At 49.0% G+C, this 20,302-nt stretch overlaps 1 protein-coding gene and 1 pseudogene across 1 annotated transcript in view, besides 1 other annotated feature; both read left to right on the top strand.

Annotated features, from left to right (window-relative positions):
- The window catches only part of ANKRD27 (ankyrin repeat domain 27), a 78,175-nt gene that overhangs the window by 13,766 nt on the left and 44,107 nt on the right, over positions 1-20,302 (top strand). Inside the window, exons 2-10 of the mRNA NM_032139.3 lie at positions 2,370-2,501; positions 11,623-11,733; positions 14,800-14,956; positions 16,936-17,090; positions 17,784-17,843; positions 17,931-17,984; positions 18,063-18,128; positions 18,216-18,292; positions 19,270-19,391. Of these exons, the coding sequence (NP_115515.2) occupies positions 2,400-2,501; positions 11,623-11,733; positions 14,800-14,956; positions 16,936-17,090; positions 17,784-17,843; positions 17,931-17,984; positions 18,063-18,128; positions 18,216-18,292; positions 19,270-19,391 (904 nt within the window). The 5' untranslated portion in view covers positions 2,370-2,399. The remainder of the gene's footprint in view (positions 1-2,369; positions 2,502-11,622; positions 11,734-14,799; positions 14,957-16,935; positions 17,091-17,783; positions 17,844-17,930; positions 17,985-18,062; positions 18,129-18,215; positions 18,293-19,269; positions 19,392-20,302) is intronic.
- On the top strand, positions 6,107-6,399 carry RN7SL789P (RNA, 7SL, cytoplasmic 789, pseudogene; annotated as a pseudogene).
- Positions 11,455-11,956: an enhancer, noted in NCBI's record as "H3K4me1 hESC enhancer chr19:33140365-33140866 (GRCh37/hg19 assembly coordinates)". NCBI's record gives its function as "activates a minimal SCP1, AML or CMV promoter by ChIP-STARR-seq in naive H9 embryonic stem cells {active_cell/tissue: H9 hESC(naive)}" and the evidence as "EXISTENCE:reporter gene assay evidence [ECO:0000049][PMID:30033119]".

Here is a 20,302-nt window from a genome sequence, read left to right as displayed (position 1 = left end):
AGGTTACGGTGAGCTACGATCATGTCATTGGACTCCAGCTCTAGCCTGGGCGACAGTGTGAAACCCTGTCTCAAAATAAATAACATCCAAAGTTCTATTTCTGAACACACCCATTTGACAAAATGAAAAAGCAAGTTACAGACTAGGAGATGGTGTGAGTATATGTGTGTGTGTGTGTGTGTGTGTGTGTGTGTATAATTTTTTTTTTTTTTTTTAGACAGCATCTTGCACCATCACACAGGGTGGAGTGCAGTGGCGTGATCATGGCTCATAGCGGCCTTAACCTCCTGGGCTCAAGTGATTCTCCTGCCCCAGCCTCCTTAGTACCTGGGACTATAGGCATGGGCTGCCACACATGGCTAATTTTTAAAACTTTTTTTGTAGAGATGGGGTCTCGCTATGTTGCCTGGGCTGGTCTTGACCTCTTGACCTCAAGTGATCCTCCTACCTCATCCTCCCCAGGTGCTGTGATTACAGCCAGCCTGGGAGATGATATTTAAAACTTACTTTAGTATACAGATGTGTAAAGAACTATAAATCCTAAGAAAAAGGCCAACAACCCAGCGGGAAAGTGAGCAAAAGACATGATCAGGCAGTTTACATAACCGAAAGAAATTTAGTTCATTTAATTAATGAACCAATGAAAATGAAAAACAGTGGGATATGGCTTTATACTCATAGACTATCTCAGCCCATGCAGGCTGCTGTAATAGAAGGCTTGAAAATGACAGAAATGTGTTTCTCACAGTTCTGGAGGCTGGGAAGTACAAGGTGAAGATCCTGCAGGTTGGATGTCTGGGGAGGGCCTGCTTCATAAACAGCTGTCTGTTCTCTGTAACCTCACGTGGCCGGAGGAGCAAAGGAGCTCTCCCAGGCCTCTTTCTTTTTCTTTTTTTTGAAACGGAGTCTCGCTTTATCACCCAGGCTGGAGTGCGGTGGCGTGATCTCTGCTCACTGCAACCTCTGCCTCCTGGGCAGTCCCAAGCTGGGACTATAGGCATGCACCACCACACCCAGCTAATTTTTGTATTTTCAGTAGAGACGGGGTTTCACCATGTTGACCAGGCTGGTCTTGAACTCCTGACCTCAGGTGATCCTCCCGACTTGGCCTCCCAAAGGGAGGATTACAGGCATGAGCCACTGTGCCCGGCTGCATAATTACGGGCACTGATCTCATTCATGAAGGCTCTGCCTTTGTAACCTAATCACCCCCAAAGGCCCCGCCTAGCGGGTTAGTATTTTAACATATGAGTTTTTGGGGGACATAAACATTTAGACCATAGCACAGACTAACAGAAATTTTATTATTTTAATTTTTGAGGAGATAGTGTTTTGCTATATTGTCCAGGCTGGTCTCCAACTCCTGGTCTTAAGCGGATCCTCCTGCCTTAGCCTCCCGAGTGGCTGGGACTACGGGCACATGCCACCATACCCAGATAATTGTTAATTTTTGTAGAGGTAGATAATTGTTTATTTTTATTGTTTATTTTTGTAGATAATTGGTTTTTTTTGTAGATAAATTGTTTATTTTTGTAGAAGTGAGGGTTTTGCTGTATTGCCCAGTCTGGTCTTGAACTCCTGGGCTCACAGGATCCTCCTACCTCAGGCTCCCAAAGTGCTGGGATGACAGGCATGAACCACCACACCTGGCTTCCACTTTATTTCTTAAAAGAAAATCTGAGGCAAACATGGCAAAATGTGACGATTCCTTAATTCTGGTGCTAGGTTTGCATTATTACTCAGTACTTTTCCATGTGCTAAAATATTTCATTAAAAATAAATGAGTATCTTGAGAATGTCATAATTTTGGTCATGTAGGATATTCTAAAAATAGCCATTTATACTTTAGCCAAGACTTGGAGTTTAACAAGATTTTCTGAGCATAATTTACACGTTAGCCAATAAACGGGTCATCTTGGAATTAGTGGGTTGTATTTGAGATTTCCTGGTGGAGTGAGTCTGTGGGAGAAAAAAATGGCACGTCATGAATCCTTTTTTATTTGGAGGATACTCTTTAGAAATTGCCAGATGCAGGTCGGGTGTGACAGCTCATGCCTGTAATCCCAGCACTTTGGGAGGCTGAGGCGGGCAGATCACCTGCTGGTCAGGAGTTCAAGACCAGCCTGGCCAACATGGCAAAACCCTGTCTTTACTAAAAATACAAAAATTCGCGGGTGTGGTGGTGGGCGCCTGTAGTCCCAGCTACTCCCGAGGCTGAGCCGCGCTCCAGCCTGGGCGACAGAGTGAGACTCTGTCTCAAAAAAAAAAAAAAAAAGAAAAAGAAAATGCCAGATGCATCAGATGCAGACTTTCATGTGTTACGTAAACTCGAAAATGGCTATTCACTGCTTTTCCCTCCCTTATTGCAGGAGATTTGCTCTGACCCATCTGAAGTCCATATGGCTCTGTATGATGAAGACCTCCTGAAAAATCCTTTCTATCTGGCTCTGCAAAAGTGCCGCCCTGACTTGTGCAGCAAAGTGGCCCAAATCCATGGCATTGTAAGTGCACTGAGCCTCGGGGTTGTCCTGAGGCATGAATGGTTCCAGAGACGTGGTAGACTAAGGCTCAGTTTGGAGGGAGTTTGTTATAAACTCAGCTTAACAAGCTCCCAGCAGTGTGCTTGGTCTGTGAGTGAGCAGCGAGGGGCCCCCATGAGCCGCTCCCTCCAGGAAGCCTTCTGGGACTGCAGTCCAGGCTGTAATACTTTCTCTGAACTCCTGGCCCCCGCCTGTGGCTAACTGTGCCCTTTCGTGGAGCACCCCCAGTGACACTTGGTCTCACGCTGCGGTGCTCTCGTTTCTCTCTTGCCTATGGAGGCTTCTCCAGGGCTAAAATGAGTTGTGCTCCCTGGGGCCTTACGAGTCCTGGTCTGTCTGGGAGGTGGGTGCTCACCCTCATAGAATAAGGGACCGAGTAAACACATTCATACACTGCTTTGAAAGGTTTTTCCAAAGGGAAAGCACCATGATGAAAGAACTTTTCTGGTAGAGGCCACAACCTCAGAAGCCTTCAGGGGCAGCCAGGTAACAGGAATGAGAAGCAGGCAGGAGACGCTGTCGCCTGTCATGGTGGGGGCATCTGCCTGGACGGGGGCGGGCCCCACATTGTGGGTCTTTCCAGTTCTCAGGTCAGTGAACTTGGCGGGCATCCTACTTAGACGGCACTGGGGGACACAGTGTCCCGGGTGCATTTGTGTCATCTGTGGCCTCTGCTTCAGGAGTCTTCCGTCTTCTTTTTGTCTGTTGTCCCCTACTCTCTCAAATGGATGTCCACTTCTCTTATCCCGTGGGGCGACTTTACTTAGATATGTGAGGTGCCTGAGGGTTTGAACTGAAGGAGAAGTCAGGTTAGCTGAGTGTGGCTTCAGGTTCTCAGCGGCCTCTCGGACGCCGGAATTGACTTTCATTTATTTTTATTTTTATTTATTAAATTTTTTTGAGACAGAGTCTTGCTCTGTCACCCAGGCTGGAGTGTGGTGGCGTGATCTCAGCTCACAGCAACCTCTGTCTCCCAGGTTCAAGCGATTCTCCTGCCTCGGCCTCCCAAGTATCTGGGATTGCAGGTGTGTGCAACCACGTCCAGCTAATTTTTGTGTTTTTACTAGAGATGGAGTTTCACCCATGTTGGCCAGGCTGGTCCCGAACTCCCGGCCTCAGGTGATCTGCCCACCTCGGCCTCCCAAAGTGCTGGGATTACAGGCGTGAGCCACTGTGTCTGGCCTGGACTTGACTTTGATTTTGCCCAGGCCAAGCTCTGCCATCAGAAACTGGGTTTCTTTTTTTTTTTTTTGAGACAGAGTCTCACTCTGTTGCTCAGGCTGGAGTGCAGTGGCGCAATCTCGACTCTCTGCAACCTCTGCCTCCCGGGTTCAAGTGATTTGCCTCGGCCTCCTGAGTAGCCGGGATTACAGGCACAAACCACCATGCCTGGCTAATTTTTTTTTTTTTTTTGAGACAGAGCCTTGCTCTGTCACCCAGGCTAGAGTGCAGTGGCGCAATCTCGACTCACTGCAACCTCCACCTCCGGGGTTCAAGCGATTTTCCTGCCTGAGTCTCCTGAGTAGCTGGGACTACAGGTGTGTGCCACCACACCCAACTAATTTTTGTATTTTTAGTGGAGACAGGGTTTCACCATGTTGGCCAGGATGGTCTCGATCTCCTGACCTCGTGATCCACCCGCCTCGGCCCCCCAGCGTGCTGGAATTACAGGTGTGAGCCACCACACCTGGCCTAATTTTTGTATTTTTAGTAGGGACAGGGTTTCACCGTGTTGTCCCAGCTGGTCTTGAACTCCTGGCCTCAAGTTATCCGCCCACCTCCATCTCCCAAAGAGAAGCTGGGTTTCTTGACATCTTTTCCAGTTTTTATGATTAGTTTTGTGATTCATATTTCTTCACCACAATCTTCTTACTTTAGATTTTAGAAGCCAAAAAGTTCATTATTTTAAAAATTAGAATATATAGCTCTTTCCAAATAAAAATCTCATAAAATTCACCAAAGACATTCACTGTCATCTCTTCATTTCACAGCAATTATTAAAAGCTGCTGTATACAAGATACTTTGCTTGATGGTGAGGATTCACCAAGAAACAGAAACACACATCACTCTTTTTTTTTTTTTTTGAGATAAGGTCTTGCTTTGTCCCCCAGCCTGGGCTAGAATACAGTGACATGAACACGGCTCACTGCAGCCTCAAACCTCTAGACTCAAGCAGTCCTTCTGCCTCAGCCTCCCAAGTAGCTGGGACTACAAGCATGTGCCACCACACCTGGCTGGTTTTTATTTTTTGTAGAGATGGGGTCTCACTATGTTGCCCAGGTTGTTCTTGAACTCCTGGCCTCAAGTGATCCTCCTGCTTCAGCCTCCCAAAGTGCTGGGATTACAGGCATGAGCTGTCACGCCTGGCCCTAGATCACCATCTTTACCCTCATGGAGCTTAAATTCTAGTGCGAAAGATGGTCATTCACTGAGCGAGTGCATACTAATTACGGTGGTGGTGAGTGTCGCAGAGGAAAAGTACGGGACGCAAGGTGGGCATGGATCAGGGAGGGCCTGGCCGTACTGCGGGAATATTTCCTCTCTTCCTGTCTTCGTTGTATGATATTTTAAACTACTGTCTAGACAAGTGCATATTTTCATATATATCTTTATCCAGCTTTTTAGAACTGTCACACTGTGGCATAGTTATTTCTGTGGAAGCTCTTTGGGGAAGCTCTATCTTGCTCAGCATGGTGTTAGTGAGCCTGGCAGCTGCCACTTCAGGCTTTTCTTTTTCTTTTCTTTTCTTTTCTTTTCTTTTCTTTTCTTTCTTTCTTTCTTTCTTTCTTTCTTTCTTTCTTTCTTTCTTTCTTTTCTTTCTTTTCTTTCTTTTCTTTCTTTTCTTCTTTTTTTTTTGAAACAGAGTCTCACTGTGTTGCCCAGGCTGGAGTATAGTGGCTCTATCTGGGCTTGCTGCAACCTCTGCCTCCTGGGTTCAAGCGATTCTCCTGCTTCGGCCTACCAAGTAGCTGGGATTACAGACACCCACCACCATGCCTGACTGATGTTTGTATTTTTAGTAGAGATGGGGTTTCACTATGTTGAGCAGGCTGGTCTCGAACTCCTGACCTCAAGTGATCCATCTGCCTTGGCCTCCCAAAGTGCTGGAATTACAGGCGTGAGCCACTGTGTCCGGCCTAACTTTTGTAATTTTTGTAGAGACGGCGTTCTCAATTTCTTGCCCAGGCTGGCCTTGAACTCCTGACCTCAGGCGATCCTCCTGCCTTGGCCTCCCAAAGTGCTGGGATTACAGGTATGAGCCACCATGCCTGGCCAACTAAGTGCTTTTCAGCTACAAGTCATGGGATCCCACTCAAGCCCACTTTAGCAAAAGGGGGATTTTGAATGAACTTTTCTGCCTTGTCACCTTCCTTTCAGGGACACCGGAGAATGGAGATTCTTCTTAGGCTGTGCCATCCAGGGTTGCCCCACAGAACCCCAGACCCTCAGTCCAGCTCCTCCTGAGATCCAAGGCATCCACAAGGAACTGCTGGGGTCCACATGGGGCAGCAGTGAGCCTCTTGTCTTCCTCAGCCTTGTTTGGTGGACTTGAATCAGTGAGGTTGCCAGGCATGTTGGTGCAGGCCTGTAGTCCCAGCTACTCAGGAGGCTGAGGCAGGAGGATCGCTGGAGCCCAGGAGCTCTGGGATGTCGTGAGCTATGCTGATTGCATCTCCACACTAAGTTTGGCATCAATATGGTGACCTCCCAGGAATGGGGGACCACCATGTTGCCCAAGGAGGGGTGAACACTGCCATGCTGGAAATAGAGCAGGTCAAAACTCCTGTGCTTTGCCAGGCACAGTGGCTCATGCCTGTAATCCCAGCACTTTGGGAGGCCAAGGCAGGCGGATCATTTGAGGTCAGGAGTTCAAGACCAGACTGGCCAACATGGTGAAACCCCATATCTACTAAAAATACACAAATTAGCCAGGTGTGGTGGTGCGTACCTGTAATCCCAGCTGCTTGGATGGCTGAGGCATGAGAATCTATTGTACCTTGGAGGCAGAGGTTGCAATGAGCTGAGATTGCGCCACTGCACTCCAGCCCAGGTGACAGAGCAAGACTCTATCTCAAAAAACAAACAAACAAACAAACAAAACAAACAAAAAACCCTCCCGTGCTGATCAGCAGTGGGATTGCACCTCTAAATAGCCACTGCACTCCAGCCTGGGCAACATAGTGAGACACCATCTCTAAAAAAAAAGAAAAAAAGAATCAGGGAGGCCAGCATCTCAGCAGAAATCAGCAGAGTGCAGGAGCTGCTGTCACTGTCACACTGGTCAGGTTTGCTGGCCCATGCCGGCCCCCTCTTGTCCGTGTGAGGAGGGACATGGACCCACACCTGTCCAGTCCGCAGTTGTGCTCTACCTATGTTCATAGATTGAAAGAAAAAGTCGAATATCTCGATGGTCTCCAGGAAAATGCCATCCTTTCTGTCACCTCTAAGGGATCCCTGTGGCCTCAGCAGTTGAATGCCAAATATCTTTCCATGAAGTTTGGACATTGTACCAACTTTATTTCATTTTTAATATTTTGGTAGAGATGGGGTCTCACTATGTTGCCCAGGCTGGTCATAACCTTGTACCAAGTTTGACTGCCCTTGAGTCTGCCCTGGAGATCAGAGTCCTTTATCAGGCTCCAAAAAATGTGAAATCACTTAAAAACATGTCTTGGCCAGGCATGGTGGCTCACGCCTGTAATCCCAGCACTTTGGGAGGCCGAGGCAGGCGGATCACTAGGTCAGGAGTTTGAGACCAGTCTGGCCAACATAGTGAAACCCTATCTCTACTAAAAATACAAAAAATTAGCCGTGCGTGGTGGCAGATGCCTATAATCCCAGCTACTGGGGAGGCTGAGGCAGGAGAATCGCGTGAACCCGGGAGGCGGAGGTTGCAGTGAGCTGAGATCACGCCACTGCACTCCAGCCTGGGCAGCAGAACGAGACTCTGTCTCAAAAAAACAAAAACAAACAAAAAAAACCATGTGTCTCCCGCAGAGTGAACCGCACCACGCTTCTCCCTGCGTGCACGCTGCTGGGCCGCCTCATCTCCATGTGGCCCTGCAGCAGTGTGTGTGGGGCAGCTGAGGGTGCAGCTTGACTGCTCCTTCCCTCCCCACCCCCACCCCGTCCCCGCCCCCGCCACGCCACGCCTCGAAGCGCCTTCCTTCGCAGGTGCTCCTTTTGTGGGGATGCCCCCACATCCAGGCAGGTGTCTCCTTCCTGCCCTCCTCTGCTATCTGATTGGACAGTGGAAGCGCCTTCTCCTGTGCTCACCCAGATTTCAAATTTCAATTTCAGAGGCCTGTGACAACCCCACTGCTTCTAAAAGTCACCTCTGTGCTTACAACTATCCGGCTAATTACACACCTGTGGCGTCCTCAGAGCAGGCTGGGCAGGTCTGCGTCCCTGGGGCTTTAGTGCAGAGTTGAAAGTCCTCCAGGTTTCCCAGGTGCACCAGGAGACTGGCCCCTTTGCCTACAGGAAAAACAAAAATTTCAAAGGAGATTGAACTTGGTTCTTTTATTGAGTTGTCTGATTTAATGGGGTAAGTAGGCTCCGGGGGCCTAGTCTGGGAGCCTAGCAGCATGTCTTCTAAGCCCCAGGAACTAACTTTCATCCGAGCTAAGGGCGCTGAGACCCCTGCTCCAGTTCTCAGAATTTATTTAGTATAGATGCTTCCAACAAGCCGTGGCCATCCACTCCACGCCAGGCACCGTGCCAGGTTTCAGGGTTACACGATCAATGGGGAACTTGGCACGCCTTCAGGGAATTCCAGAACAGGCCATTTGCAGGCCAGAGGAATATCAGGACAGAAGGCAGCGTGGGCAGTTGTGGAGTGCTTAATCCAGCCTGGGGAAGAAGCAGGAGAGTGCCCTGGAGTAGGTGCCACTCAGGCAGATTCTTGCCTTTTATTTGACTTTTCTTTTCTTCTTTCTTTCTTTTGAAATGGGGTCTTGATCTGTCACTCCCACTGGAGTATAGTGGCGTGATCTTGGCTCACTGCAACCTCCACCTCCTGGACTCAAGTGATCCTCCTGTCTTAGTCTCCTAGGTAGCTGGGACTACAGGCGTGCACCACCACGCCTGGCTAATTTTTGTATTTTTTGTAGAGACAGGGTTTTGCCCTGTCGCCCAGGCTGGTCTCGAACTCCTGGACTCAAGTGATCCACCCGCCTCAGCCTCCCAAAGTGCTGTGATTACAGGCGTGAGCCACCTCACCTGTCTCCTTTTGTTTTTCCTCATAAAATGCAGCTCCTGCAGGACTTTCTTTCCCCCAACCCCACACCCTACCCCCGGGATGGAGTTTCGCTCTTGTAGCCCAGGCTGGAATGCAGTGGTGCGATCTCGGCTCACTGCAACCTCTGCCTCCCGGCCTCAGCCACCTGAATAACTGGGATTACAAGCGGTTGCCACCGCGCCTGGCTAATTTTTGTATTTTTAGTAGTAGAGACGTGGTTTCACCGTATTGGCCAGGCTGGTCTCAAACTCCTGACCTCAGGTGATCCACCTGCCTCAGCCTCCCAAAGTGTTGGAATTACAGGCGTGAGCCACCACACATGGCCTTTCTTTAATTACTGTGATTTAAAAAATTCTTTCTAAAGGGGCTAGAATAAACCATTTTTTGGTTAAGCCTTGAAATTTCTGGGTCCCCACCTTCTGGTCAACGCAGTAACTCTGAACTTCGTCTATGCCGGTAACTCTGGAAAGTCTTTGCCAGCAGTAAAAACTCCACAGCTACTCCAGAAGTAGTCTGAAGCCCCCTAAGGGATAGCCTGGAGGCCGTTGGCCTAGCTCTCTACCCCCTATCCCAGGCAACTCCTCCCCGGTCTCAGCAGGATTGCTGTGGGGATGGTGGGTGGAGCCAGGGAGCCCAGCGTTGGCTTCTGGTTGCTATGAAATGCTCTGGGCAGCAGGGGCCTCTCTCTTTCTTGGCATAGGAGGAACTAGAGCTCCTTTTTATGTCTGCCAGAAAACTAGTTGGGGGAAGGGTTGGTCCTGAGGGCCCCCGATTTACCCAGTAAACATGCACTGGGCACCTGCCTCGTGTCCAGCAGTGTGCTTGACAGTGGGGATGCAGTGAATGGGGCCAGACGTGCATTATGCAAGTCAGGGAGGCGGAGAAGGTGATGCAAACAAGCGGGCAGCATGTGGGCACAGTGGGGCAGAGTTCTCTGAGGCCCCTTAGAAGTTCCTGCTTCGAGGCCAGGCGTGGTGGCTCACACCTGTAATCGCAGCACTTTGAGAGGCTGAGGTGGGCAGATCACAAGGTCAGGAGATCGAGACCATCCTGGTGAACACGGTGAAACCCCGTCTCTACTAAAAATACAAAAAAATTAGCCGGGTGTGGTGGCGGACGCCTGTAGTCCCAGCTACTTGGGAGACTGAGGCAGGAGAATCGTGTGAATCCGGGAGGCGGAACTTGCAGTGAGCCGAGATCACGCCACTGCACTCCAGCCTGGGCAACAGAGCGAGATCTGTCTCAAAAAAAAAGAAGTTCCTGCTTCCCAGAGGCCACATGAAGGCCCTCCAGCCACGGCCCTTCCTTGAATGGGATGGTGTGAGTCCTTCATGCTGCAGCTGGAGGGGGGGCCATCTCTGACTTCAAGCATTAAATACCCGAGGACTGGCTCTTTAGATCCCATTGCCTGTGGCCCACTTTGGCCTCTAGGATCTTCTTTCTTTGTCTGCCAACTGCAGTGGTGAGGCCACTTGGGAGCCTTGAGGTCATTTCTTCTAGCCTAACATCTAAGGGCCTCCCTTTATTTTAATTTTTTATTAAAATTTCAGATTATTATGTTTAATTTCAAACAAAGAATAATACAATGGACCAGGCACAGTGGCTCATGACTGTCATCCCAGCACTTTGGGAGGCCAAGGTGGAAGGATCGCTTGAGGCCAGGGATTCAAGACCAGCTTGGACAAAATAGTGAGATCTCATCTCTACTTAAAAAAAAAATGCTGGTCATGGTTGTGTGCACCTGTTGTCCCAGTTACTTACGAGGCTGAGGCAGGAGGATGGCTTGAGCCCAGAGGTTGAGGGTGCAGTGAGCTATGATTGCGCCACTGCACTCCAGCCTCGGTGAGAGAGCAAGACACTGTCTCCAAAAAAAAAAAATAAATAAAAGCGTAAAGAAAAGAATAGAAGGAAACCATCATCCATGTGAAGTGTTCTTTTTTTTTTTTTTTTTTTTAAAGACAGAGTCTTGCTCTGCAGCCCAGGCTGGAGTAGTGCAATCATGTGATCTCAACTCACTGCAACCTCTGCCTCCTGGGCTGAAGCACAACCTCCCGAGTAGCTGGGATTACAGGCACATGCCACCATACCTGGCTAATTTTTGTGTTTTTAGTAGAGACAGAGTTTCACCATGTTGACCAGGCTGGTCTCAAACTGCTGACCTCAAGTGATCTGCCTGCCTCAGCCTCCCAAAGTGCTGGCATTACAGGCGTGCGCCACCACCCCCGGCTAATTTTTGTATTTTTAGTAGAGCCAGGGTTTTGCCATGTTGGCCAGGCTGGTCTCAAACTCCTGACCTCAAGTGATCCGCCTGCCTTGGCCTCTCAAAGTGCTACGATTATAGGCATGAGCCACCACGCCTGGCCATGTTTCTTTTTTGAATGGTGGGAGAAAGTGTGATTTTTTAGCTTCCCTTTTCTGTACTTTCCAAATGCTCCTCTCTTCATCTGGGCTTGTCCCTGAGCCCCTGGGTCCTTATAACTGTGCTGTTAAGAATAGAGAGGGAGCCTGGGGCCACTAGCCTGGGGGGGACCCAGCGATTGTAGGAAGGAGCCGTCAGCCTCCACATCTGAAGGTGGAGAAGGATTTGTACTGTTCGCCTCCTCCCTCTGCCTGTGGTGGGGTGAGGCTGATTCCATCACAACAGCAACAACAACAACAACAGCAGCAGCAGATCACCTCAGCTGGCAGCCACTGTGGCCGTGTTGGCAAGGGACCTCGGGCGTTCTCTCTGCCAGCAGGTCCCGCTGTGTGTCCAGCTGGAGCGCCTTTGGGGACACCTTGTTCTGCTGAGGTGGTAAATGGCACGTCTGTCTAATGTTGCCCCGAATTGTTTTTTCCAGGTCTTAGTACCCTGCAAAGGAAGCCTGTCGAGCAGCATCCAGTCTACTTGTCAGTTTGAGTCCTACATTTTGATACCTGTGGAAGAGCATTTTCAGACCTTAAATGGAAAGGTATTCATTTCTTGGTGGATCAGCCAGGGTCACCTACTCGGTGTTTGGGGCCAGAGGGGAGGAAGAGAGTCCCGTTCTCAGCCTTTCACAGCTACTGGCAATGGTGGCATTTGACACACACTGCAGCCCCGTGGGGGGCTGGAGGGACCCTGCCTTTGTGGTGGAGGAAAGGGAGGTAGTGATGGTAAGCTGGACCCCAGCTGCTGTCTTGGAGGCCGGGAGGTGCCAAGCATCTCTCTCTGATCCCGTGATGGGGTTTCTGCCGTGTGTCGCTGGAACACCTCCTCCTTGCTGATGTCCGAGCCAAAGGAAGTTGTTTTATCCCAGTGCCGTGAAAAGCTTGTCAGTGTCTTGGTCCCGAATAGGACATCAGGGATGAATATTTTAGTTTTTAAAAGCTTTTTGTTTCAGCTGGACATGGTGGCCTACGCCTATAATTCTAGCACTTTGGGGGGCCGAGGCAGGAGAATCACTTGAGGCCAGGAGTTTGAGACCAGCCTGGAAAACATAACGAGACCCCATCTCTGCCAAAAATAAAAATAAAAAAATTAGCCAGGCGTGATGGTGCGTGCTTCTAGTCCTAGCTACTTGGAAGGCACAGGTGGGAGAATTGCTTAAGCTGAGGAGTTTGAGCTTGCAGTAAGCCATGATTGTGTCACCACACTGTAGCCTGGGCAACAGAGTGAGACCCTGTCTCAAAAAAAAAAAAAAAACAAACCCAAAAAACAATCTTTTTGTTTTGAAATAATTTCAAATGTTTTAGTAAAGTTGAAAAAACTCTTAAATGTGCTTCCCCCCAAGCTGTTAACATTCTTGCCACATTGGTTTTATCGCTGTCTCTCAACACATATTATTATTATTTTGAATCTTTTTTTTTTTTTTTGAGATGGAATCTTGCTCTGTCACCAGGCTGGAGTGCAGTGGCGCTATCACAGCTCACTGCGAGCTCCGCCTCCCAGGTTCACGCCATTCTCCTGCCTCAGCCTCCCGAGTAGCTGGGACTACGGGCACCCGCCACCATGCCCAGCTAATTTTTTGTATTTTTAGTAGAGACGAGGTTTCACCATGTTAGCCAGTATGGTCTCGATCTCCTCACCTCATGATCCACCCGCCTCGGCCTCCCAAAGTGCTGGGATTACAGGCGTGCGCCACCGCGCCTGGCCTGAATCTTTTGAGAGTAAGTTGCAGGCACTGTGCCCTTTAGCCCAAGACAGCTCAGTGTGTATTTCCCAAGAACAGGCATTCTCTTATGTAACCACAACGCAATGATCACACTCAGATAATTTAGCATTGATAGAATGTCCTCCAACATATTGTCCTCATACAGACTGTGCTGATTATACCAATTATATCTTTCATAGCAAAAAAAACTTCTTCTTAGCTCTAGAATCACACACTACATTTTTTTTTTCTTTTGAGGCGGAGTCTCACTCTGTCACCCAGGCTGGAGTGCAGTAGCTTGATCTCAGCTCACTGCAACCTGCGCCTCCCAGGTTCAAGTGATTCTCCTGCCTCAGCCTCCTGAGTGTCTGGGACTGCAAGCACTCGCCACCATGCCCGGATAATTTTTGTATTTTTAATAGAGACGGGGTTTCACCATATTAGCCAGGCTGGTCTCAAACTCCTGACCTCAAATGATCCACCCACCTTGGTCTCCGAAAGTGCTTGGATTACAGGCATGAGCCACTGCACCCGGCCTGGATCCTTTTTAAATGTTGCAACAGAAAAAACATTGAGCTGTTTCTTTAGGAGAAGAAATTCTGTGTTCTTTGTGAAAAGAAAAGGTAAGAAAGCTCTCCCTATCTAAGAGATGGAAGTAATCTTGTGCTGCAGTGTGGCCAGGGCTGAATCCCACCTGCTACTCCCTGCATGGCTTACTGTGGTCATGGCCGGGTGCTGGGGGCAGACCAGCTGCGCAAAGCCCGACTCCTGTCCTTTTTGTAGATCTAGGTGTCCAAAAGAGAACAAATCAACTAAGCTGACTGACAGCTGGGGTGAGCAGATCTCTAGCAGGAAAACAGCAGTGTGTCTTGTGAGCCACAGGGCAGAGCAGATGCACTGACAACCCCGTGCTTCCTCTCCCTGTCACAGCGCCACAAACCTCAGCTGCCGCATCTGAACACAGCCCCTGCCCCAGTGAGGACACTGTGGCCGGGCTTCCCTGACTATGGGGATGCCGGGAAAAACAGGGCCATTCCTGAATGGGAATAAAATCTCCCCCTCTCAGAACCTACCTGCTTCCGCTTTAAAAGCAAAACAAAACAAAACGACACATACCCCATGGTTAACATCAACAGTGAAAAAAGCTGACATCATGTGCCTTCCAACAGGATACACAGAGGGAGATAAAACATCCCTTTCAGGGCATTCCTATCAGAAACGTGTAACTGTAAAACCGTAATCTAATTGTCAGGAAACATCAGACAAACCCTCCCAAACACACGGAGGGAGAGTCTGCGATACGCAACAAAAATGTCAATGTCGTGAAAGGCAAAGAAAGACCGAGGCACTGTTCCAAATAAAGGAAACTGAAAAGATGAACAAATGCATCGTGTGGGCCAGGTGTGGTGGCTCACGCCTGTAATCCCAGCACTCCAGGAGGCCAAGGCGGGCGGATCACCTGAGGCTGGGAGTTCAAGAGCAGCCTGGCCAACATGACAAAACTGTGTCTCTACTAAAAATACAAAAATTAGCTGGGTGTGGTGGTGGGTGCCTGTAGTGCCACGTACTCAGGAGGCTGAGTCAGGAGAATTGCTTGACCCTGGGAGGCGGAGGTTGCAGTGAGCCGAGGTCGCACCACTGCACTCCAGCCTGGGTGATGGAGTAAGACTCTGTCTCAAAAGAAAATAGAAATGATTCAGGTATCTTGCAGCCATAGCTACTAGGCCAACAAAGAGGAAACATTTTAGTATCAAAATGAGCAAAACAGGAGAGTATTTGTGCCCCAGCAAACCCACAATGGGGTGAAGGCCGTAGGGTCTGGTTAAGTGCTGCATCGGGGGCCAGGCTGAGAGTGGGATGTGGTTGCCCCGGCTGCTGGTGCAGTGATGGCTTTCTTGTTTCCAGGATGTCTTTATTCAAGGGAACAGGATTAAATTAGGAGCTGGTTTTGCCTGTCTTCTCTCAGTGCCCATTCTCTTTGAAGAAACTTTCTACAATGAAAAAGAAGAGAGTTTCAGCATCCTGTGTATAGCCCATCCTTTGGAAAAGAGAGAGAGTTCAGGTATTCTGGGAGAAAAAACCTTTTTCTCCTGTTTTAGAAAAATGTGTTTGTTGAACTTGTTCCTGACTTAGCTGTTGAAAGGTTAAACAAGGCCGGGTATGGTGGCTCGCGCCTGTAATCCCTGCACTTTGGGAGGCCGAGGCACAAGGATCACTTGAGGCCAGGAGTTCAAAACTAGCCTGGAAACATAGTGAGACCCTGTCTCTATAAAAAAATTAAAAAAATCAAGCCGGGCGCAGTGGCTCACGCCTGTAATCCCAGCACTTTGGGAGGCTGAGGCAGGCAGATTACTTGAGGTCAGGAGTTCAAGATCAGCCTGGCCAATGTGGTGAAACCCCATCTCTACTAAAAATACAAAAATTAGCTAGGTGTGGTGGCATGCACCTGTAATCCCAGCTACTCGGGAGGCTGAGGTAGGAGAATTGCTTGAACCCAGAAAGTGGAGGTTGCAGTAAGCTGAGATCACGCCTCTGTACTCGATCCTGGGTGACAGAGTGAGACTCTGTCTCAAAAATAAAAAGTAGGCTGGGCGTGGTGGCTCACGCTTGTAATCCTAGCACTTTGGGAGGCCGAGGTGGGCGGATTACCTGAGGTCAGGAGTTCAAGACCAGCGTGACCAACATGGGGAAACCCCATCTCTACTAAAAATACAAAAAAAATTAGCCACGTGCAGTGGTGCGTGCCTGTAATCCCAGCTACTCAGGAGGCTGAGGCAGGAGAATCACTTGAACCCGGGAGGCAGAGACTGTGGTGAGCCGAGATCGCACCACTGCACTCCAGCCTGGGCTACAGAGTAAGACTACGCCTCAAAAAAAAGATAAAAATAAAAATAAAAAGTAAAAAAATAAAATAATTAGCCGGGCATGGTGGTGCATGCCTGTAGTCTCAGTTACTCAAGAGGCTGAGGTGGGAGGGTCACTTGAGCCTAGGAATTCAAGGCTGCACTGAGCCATGATCACACCACTGCACTCTAGCATGGGCTACAGAACAAGACCCTATCTCCAAAAACAATAAAATAAATTATTATTATTATTATTTAATTATTTTTGAGATGGAGTCTTGCTCTGTTGCCAGGCTGGAGTGCAGTGGCGCAATCTTGGCTCACTGCAGCCTCCAGCTCCCGGGTTCAAGCGATTCTCCTGTCTCAGCCTCCTGAGTAGCGGGGATTACAGGCGCCCGCCACCACACCCAGCTAATTTTTTTATTTTTAGTAGAGACAGGGTTTCACCATGTTGGCCAGGATGGTCTTGATCCCTTGACCTCATGATCTGCCCGCCTCAGCCTCCCAAAGTGCTGGGATTACAGGCATGAGCCGCTGCGCCCGGCCAATAAATTATTTTTTTAAAAAAGGTTAAACATCATGGAAAATATTCAAGAGCCACATGGAGACCTATATAATTGTTTTCAGTGGTTCCTACTAGAACTTTAAAGTCACTGGGCTAAGGAGGTGTGGATCGGGGCTGCTGTTGCACAGGTCGGGCATTGCACAATTCCAGGAGGCAGCATTCGCATAGACAGCCTACCTGTGATCAGCCTGGGATGTGACTGTTGCCCCCATGAGTTATGCAAAGCAGTAGCCCCAGCTTTGTCTCTGGGTGTCAGCTTCAGGGCTGTCTCTTATAGCGCCCAGCCCCAGCATTGTGCCTCTTTGAGATTTCGTTATTTTTAATAAATAATAAGTCTTCATTTGCCCCAGAAAATTGAGATAATAATGTGCTGGATGCACACTGATGCTCTTATTGTCAGGAATTGGGGTCTTGCCCATGGTCCCAGATAGTTTGGTTTTGTCCCAGGAAGAGGCCTTGAGAGGACCAGGCTCTCTGGACTCCAGGGTGTCCTGTAACTGGGCTGTTCTTGTGTAGTGTCTTGAAATAAGGACATTTGCCCTCCTCCCCAGAGGGCCTAGGCCCTGTAGGATAGGACAGAGTCAGGAACCAGCAGAGGCTTCAGCCGGCCTGACCTGTTTGTTTCTTTTTCAGAAGAGCCTTTGGCACCCTCAGATCCCTTTTCCCTGAAAACCATTGAAGATGTGAGAGAGTTCTTGGGAAGACACTCCGAGCGATTTGACAGGAACATCGCCTCTTTCCATCGAACATTCCGAGAATGCGAGAGAAAGAGCCTCCGTCACCACATAGTCAGTAGCCGTGCTGTCCTCTGCCTGGCGTGCCCTGTCTCGGTTCAGTGCAGGGTGCTGGGAGCCCTCAGTTTCCTCTGGAACTGCCTGGTGCTGCCTCACTGTTTGAAGTCTTTTAAAAATGTTTCTCTCTAACTATAAAAGTAGTTTAACCGGGCATGGTGGTACAAGCCTGTCTTCCCAGCACTTTGGGAGGCCGAGATGGGAGGATCTCTTGAGGCTGGGAGTTCAAGACCAGCCTGGGTAACATAAAAAGACCCCATCATTACAGAAAATACAAAAATTAGCCAGGCATGGTGGCATGCACGTGTATTCCCAGCTACTTGGGAGGCCGAGGTGGGAGGATGGCTTTAGCCCAGGAGTTTGAGACTGCAGCGTGCTATAGTCATACCACTGCACTCTACTCTGGGCAACAAAGTGAGACCCTGTCTCTTAAAAAGAAAAAACAAACCAAGTGGTAAAGTCATGGGGAAGTATAACAATGAGTATTATTATCCTCTGTGTTAACCCCAAGGGGAAGTTTCTCCTGCTTTTAATGCATATACACCTAAAAAAAAAGTTGAGAAAAATCACGTAATTGACTTCATAAAGCTTGTGTTAGCACTTGAAGCTCTGTGCGCCTTACCCGCTCCGGCTCCCCCGTCATGGCCTTGCTGGTAAGGGTGGCCTGTCCCTCTGCTCTATGTGGTTTAGGACTCAGCGAATGCTCTCTACACCAAATGCCTCCAGCAGCTTCTGAGGGACTCTCACCTGGTAAGCAGCAGGACTTCTGAGAGGGAGAATTGTGGTGCACCCCCATGCAAATCCAAGCCCTTTCACTGTGCTTTTCTTGCCCTCTAGAAAATGCTCGCCAAGCAGGAGGCCCAGATGAACCTGATGAAGCAGGCAGTGGAGGTGAGGGTGGGGCGGAGTGGCTGGGAGGCACACCCTGTTGCCCGCTCACACCCTGAATGGGGTCTGTTGATTCCACAGATATACGTCCATCATGAAATTTACAACCTGATCTTTAAATACGTGGGGACCATGGAGGCAAGTGAGGTAGGTTCTCAGTTATTATCACCCAAGATGGAAGCCTTCTTCTGTGCTTTTTGAGAAATTTGAAGGTTCGTTAAAATCTGTTGTTAGGATGCGGCCTTTAACAAAATCACAAGAAGCCTTCAAGATCTTCAGCAGAAAGATATTGGTGTGAAACCGGAGTTCAGGTAAGGGTTTGCGCCACAGCGGCTTGGTGTCCTCAGAGGCAGGGGTGCTGTCTTCTCCCGGAAGCAGGCCCTCTCGGTGGCAGAGGTGACACGCTGGTTTGATGTGGTTAGTTCTGAGGAGCAGCGCAGTTACTTGCAACCAAAGATAAAGGGCTGCCCTTTATAGGTGACTGTGTGTGGCCGTCCCCCTCCCACACTGCACCAGCACGCCAGCTGGATGGGAGCCGCTGGGCACGGGGTTTTGTGCAGCTGGTCCCCAAGTGGGCATGTAATTTGCCCATGTGGGTTCTGCGTGCAGGGGACATCCCACCTGCCCACCCAAGGGAACCTTGCCATAGAGATACCTACTTAGGAGTTAATTCATTTCTTTAATTTTTATTCTTTTTGAGACAAAGTCTCACTCTGTCGCCCAGGCTGGAGTGCAGTGGTGTGATCTCGGCTCACTGCAACCTCTGCCTCCTGAGTTCAAGTGATTCTCCTGCCTCAGCCTCCCGAGTAGCGGGATTACAGGTGCACACTACCATGCCCTGCTAATTTTTGTATTTTTAGAAGAGATGGGGTTTCACCATGTTGGCCAGGCTGGTCTTGAACTCCTGACCTCAAGTGATCTGCCCACCCTGGTTTACAAGTGCTGGGATTACAGGCGTGAGCCACTGCGCCGAGCCTAATTTAAGTTTCATTAGGACACAAAAATGTTTCACCTACCACAACCCTCTTTGGGTTGTTTCCCTCTAGGAATAGGATTTTTTTTTTTCAGCTTTTCTTGTACAACTCTATCACCTGGCAGCCTGAATGGGATTGAAGGCTCTTCTGTTTTGCCGCTGACTTGAGTCAGATGACTTCTCAGTATCTGTTTTTGTGTTTCATTCCTTCTGGTTTGTTGTGAGAAGTGTAGATCCTGAGATGTGTTCTTAGATCCAGGCCAGAGGGTTCTCTTACTGTGCTCTGAAGTTGTCACTTTCCAAATTATTTTACAGCTTTAACATACCTCGTGCCAAAAGAGAGCTGGCTCAGCTGAACAAATGCACCTCCCCACAGCAGAAGCTTGTCTGCTTGCGAAAAGTGGTGCAGCTCATTACACAGTCTCCAAGCCAGAGAGGTTTGTGCTTGGAAAGGGGACTGGCCAAGGGGTAGATGCTACATCCAGATGAAAAAGCAAAGAGTGATGCTGTCTTAAGGGATTTTTATGGGGCTGGGTGCAGTGGCTCACCTCTGTAACCCCAGTGCTTTGGGAGGCCAAGGTGGGAGGATCACTTGAGGCCAGGAATTGGAGGTTGCAGTGAGCTATGATCACACCAGTGCACTACAGCCTGGGTGATAGAGTGAGACCCCTTCTCAAAAAAAAAAAAAAAAAAGAAGAAGTAAAAGAAAACAAGTCAAGAAAAAGTCAGTAAGGAAGAGACATAGCTGTATGTGTAGATAAGGGATGATCCTGAGTGTATGGAATGAAATAAACAGGAATGCATATGGTAGACTTCCAGCCAACAGCATCAAAGAATGGGGGATAGCTGTTTAGCCACGATATGATGGTGAGCTCATAGCTGTCCTGGACAGATGTGCAGGAAGCAACAGCAGGAGCCTCTGGGAAAAGAGACTGGCTGGCAGGGATGGGAGGAACATTCACAGTTTGCTCTTTTGTATTGTTTGAATTTTTAAATGTGAATGAATTACTTAAAATTTCAAAATGGAAAAAAAGTGAAACTCCACATGGGCAGTGGACTCCATGTCTATAAAATGGAAGTGACCTTAGGAAGGACCTTGGTGACTTTAGGAAGAAAGAGACTTTAGGTGATGGCTCTGGGCTCATCTTCATTTTTTATCACTGAAGCCACCTCCCTGGGCTCTTTCAGCGTCCAAGGGGGTGGCAAGGCATGGTCTGCTTGGAGTTAACATATTTTTTTTTTTTCTTAAGAGACAGGGTCGGCTGGGCGCGGTGGCTCACACCTGTAATCCCAGCACTTTGGGAGGCTGAGGCGGGCAGATCACGAGGTCAGGAGATCGAGACCATCC

This window comes from Homo sapiens, chromosome 19 (assembly GCF_000001405.40).
Source record: "Homo sapiens chromosome 19, GRCh38.p14 Primary Assembly".
In the NCBI taxonomy this organism is placed as follows: domain Eukaryota; kingdom Metazoa; phylum Chordata; class Mammalia; order Primates; family Hominidae; genus Homo; species Homo sapiens.
The sequence above is the reverse complement of the archived record's forward strand: the minus strand, read 5'-3'. Positions and strand labels throughout refer to the sequence as shown.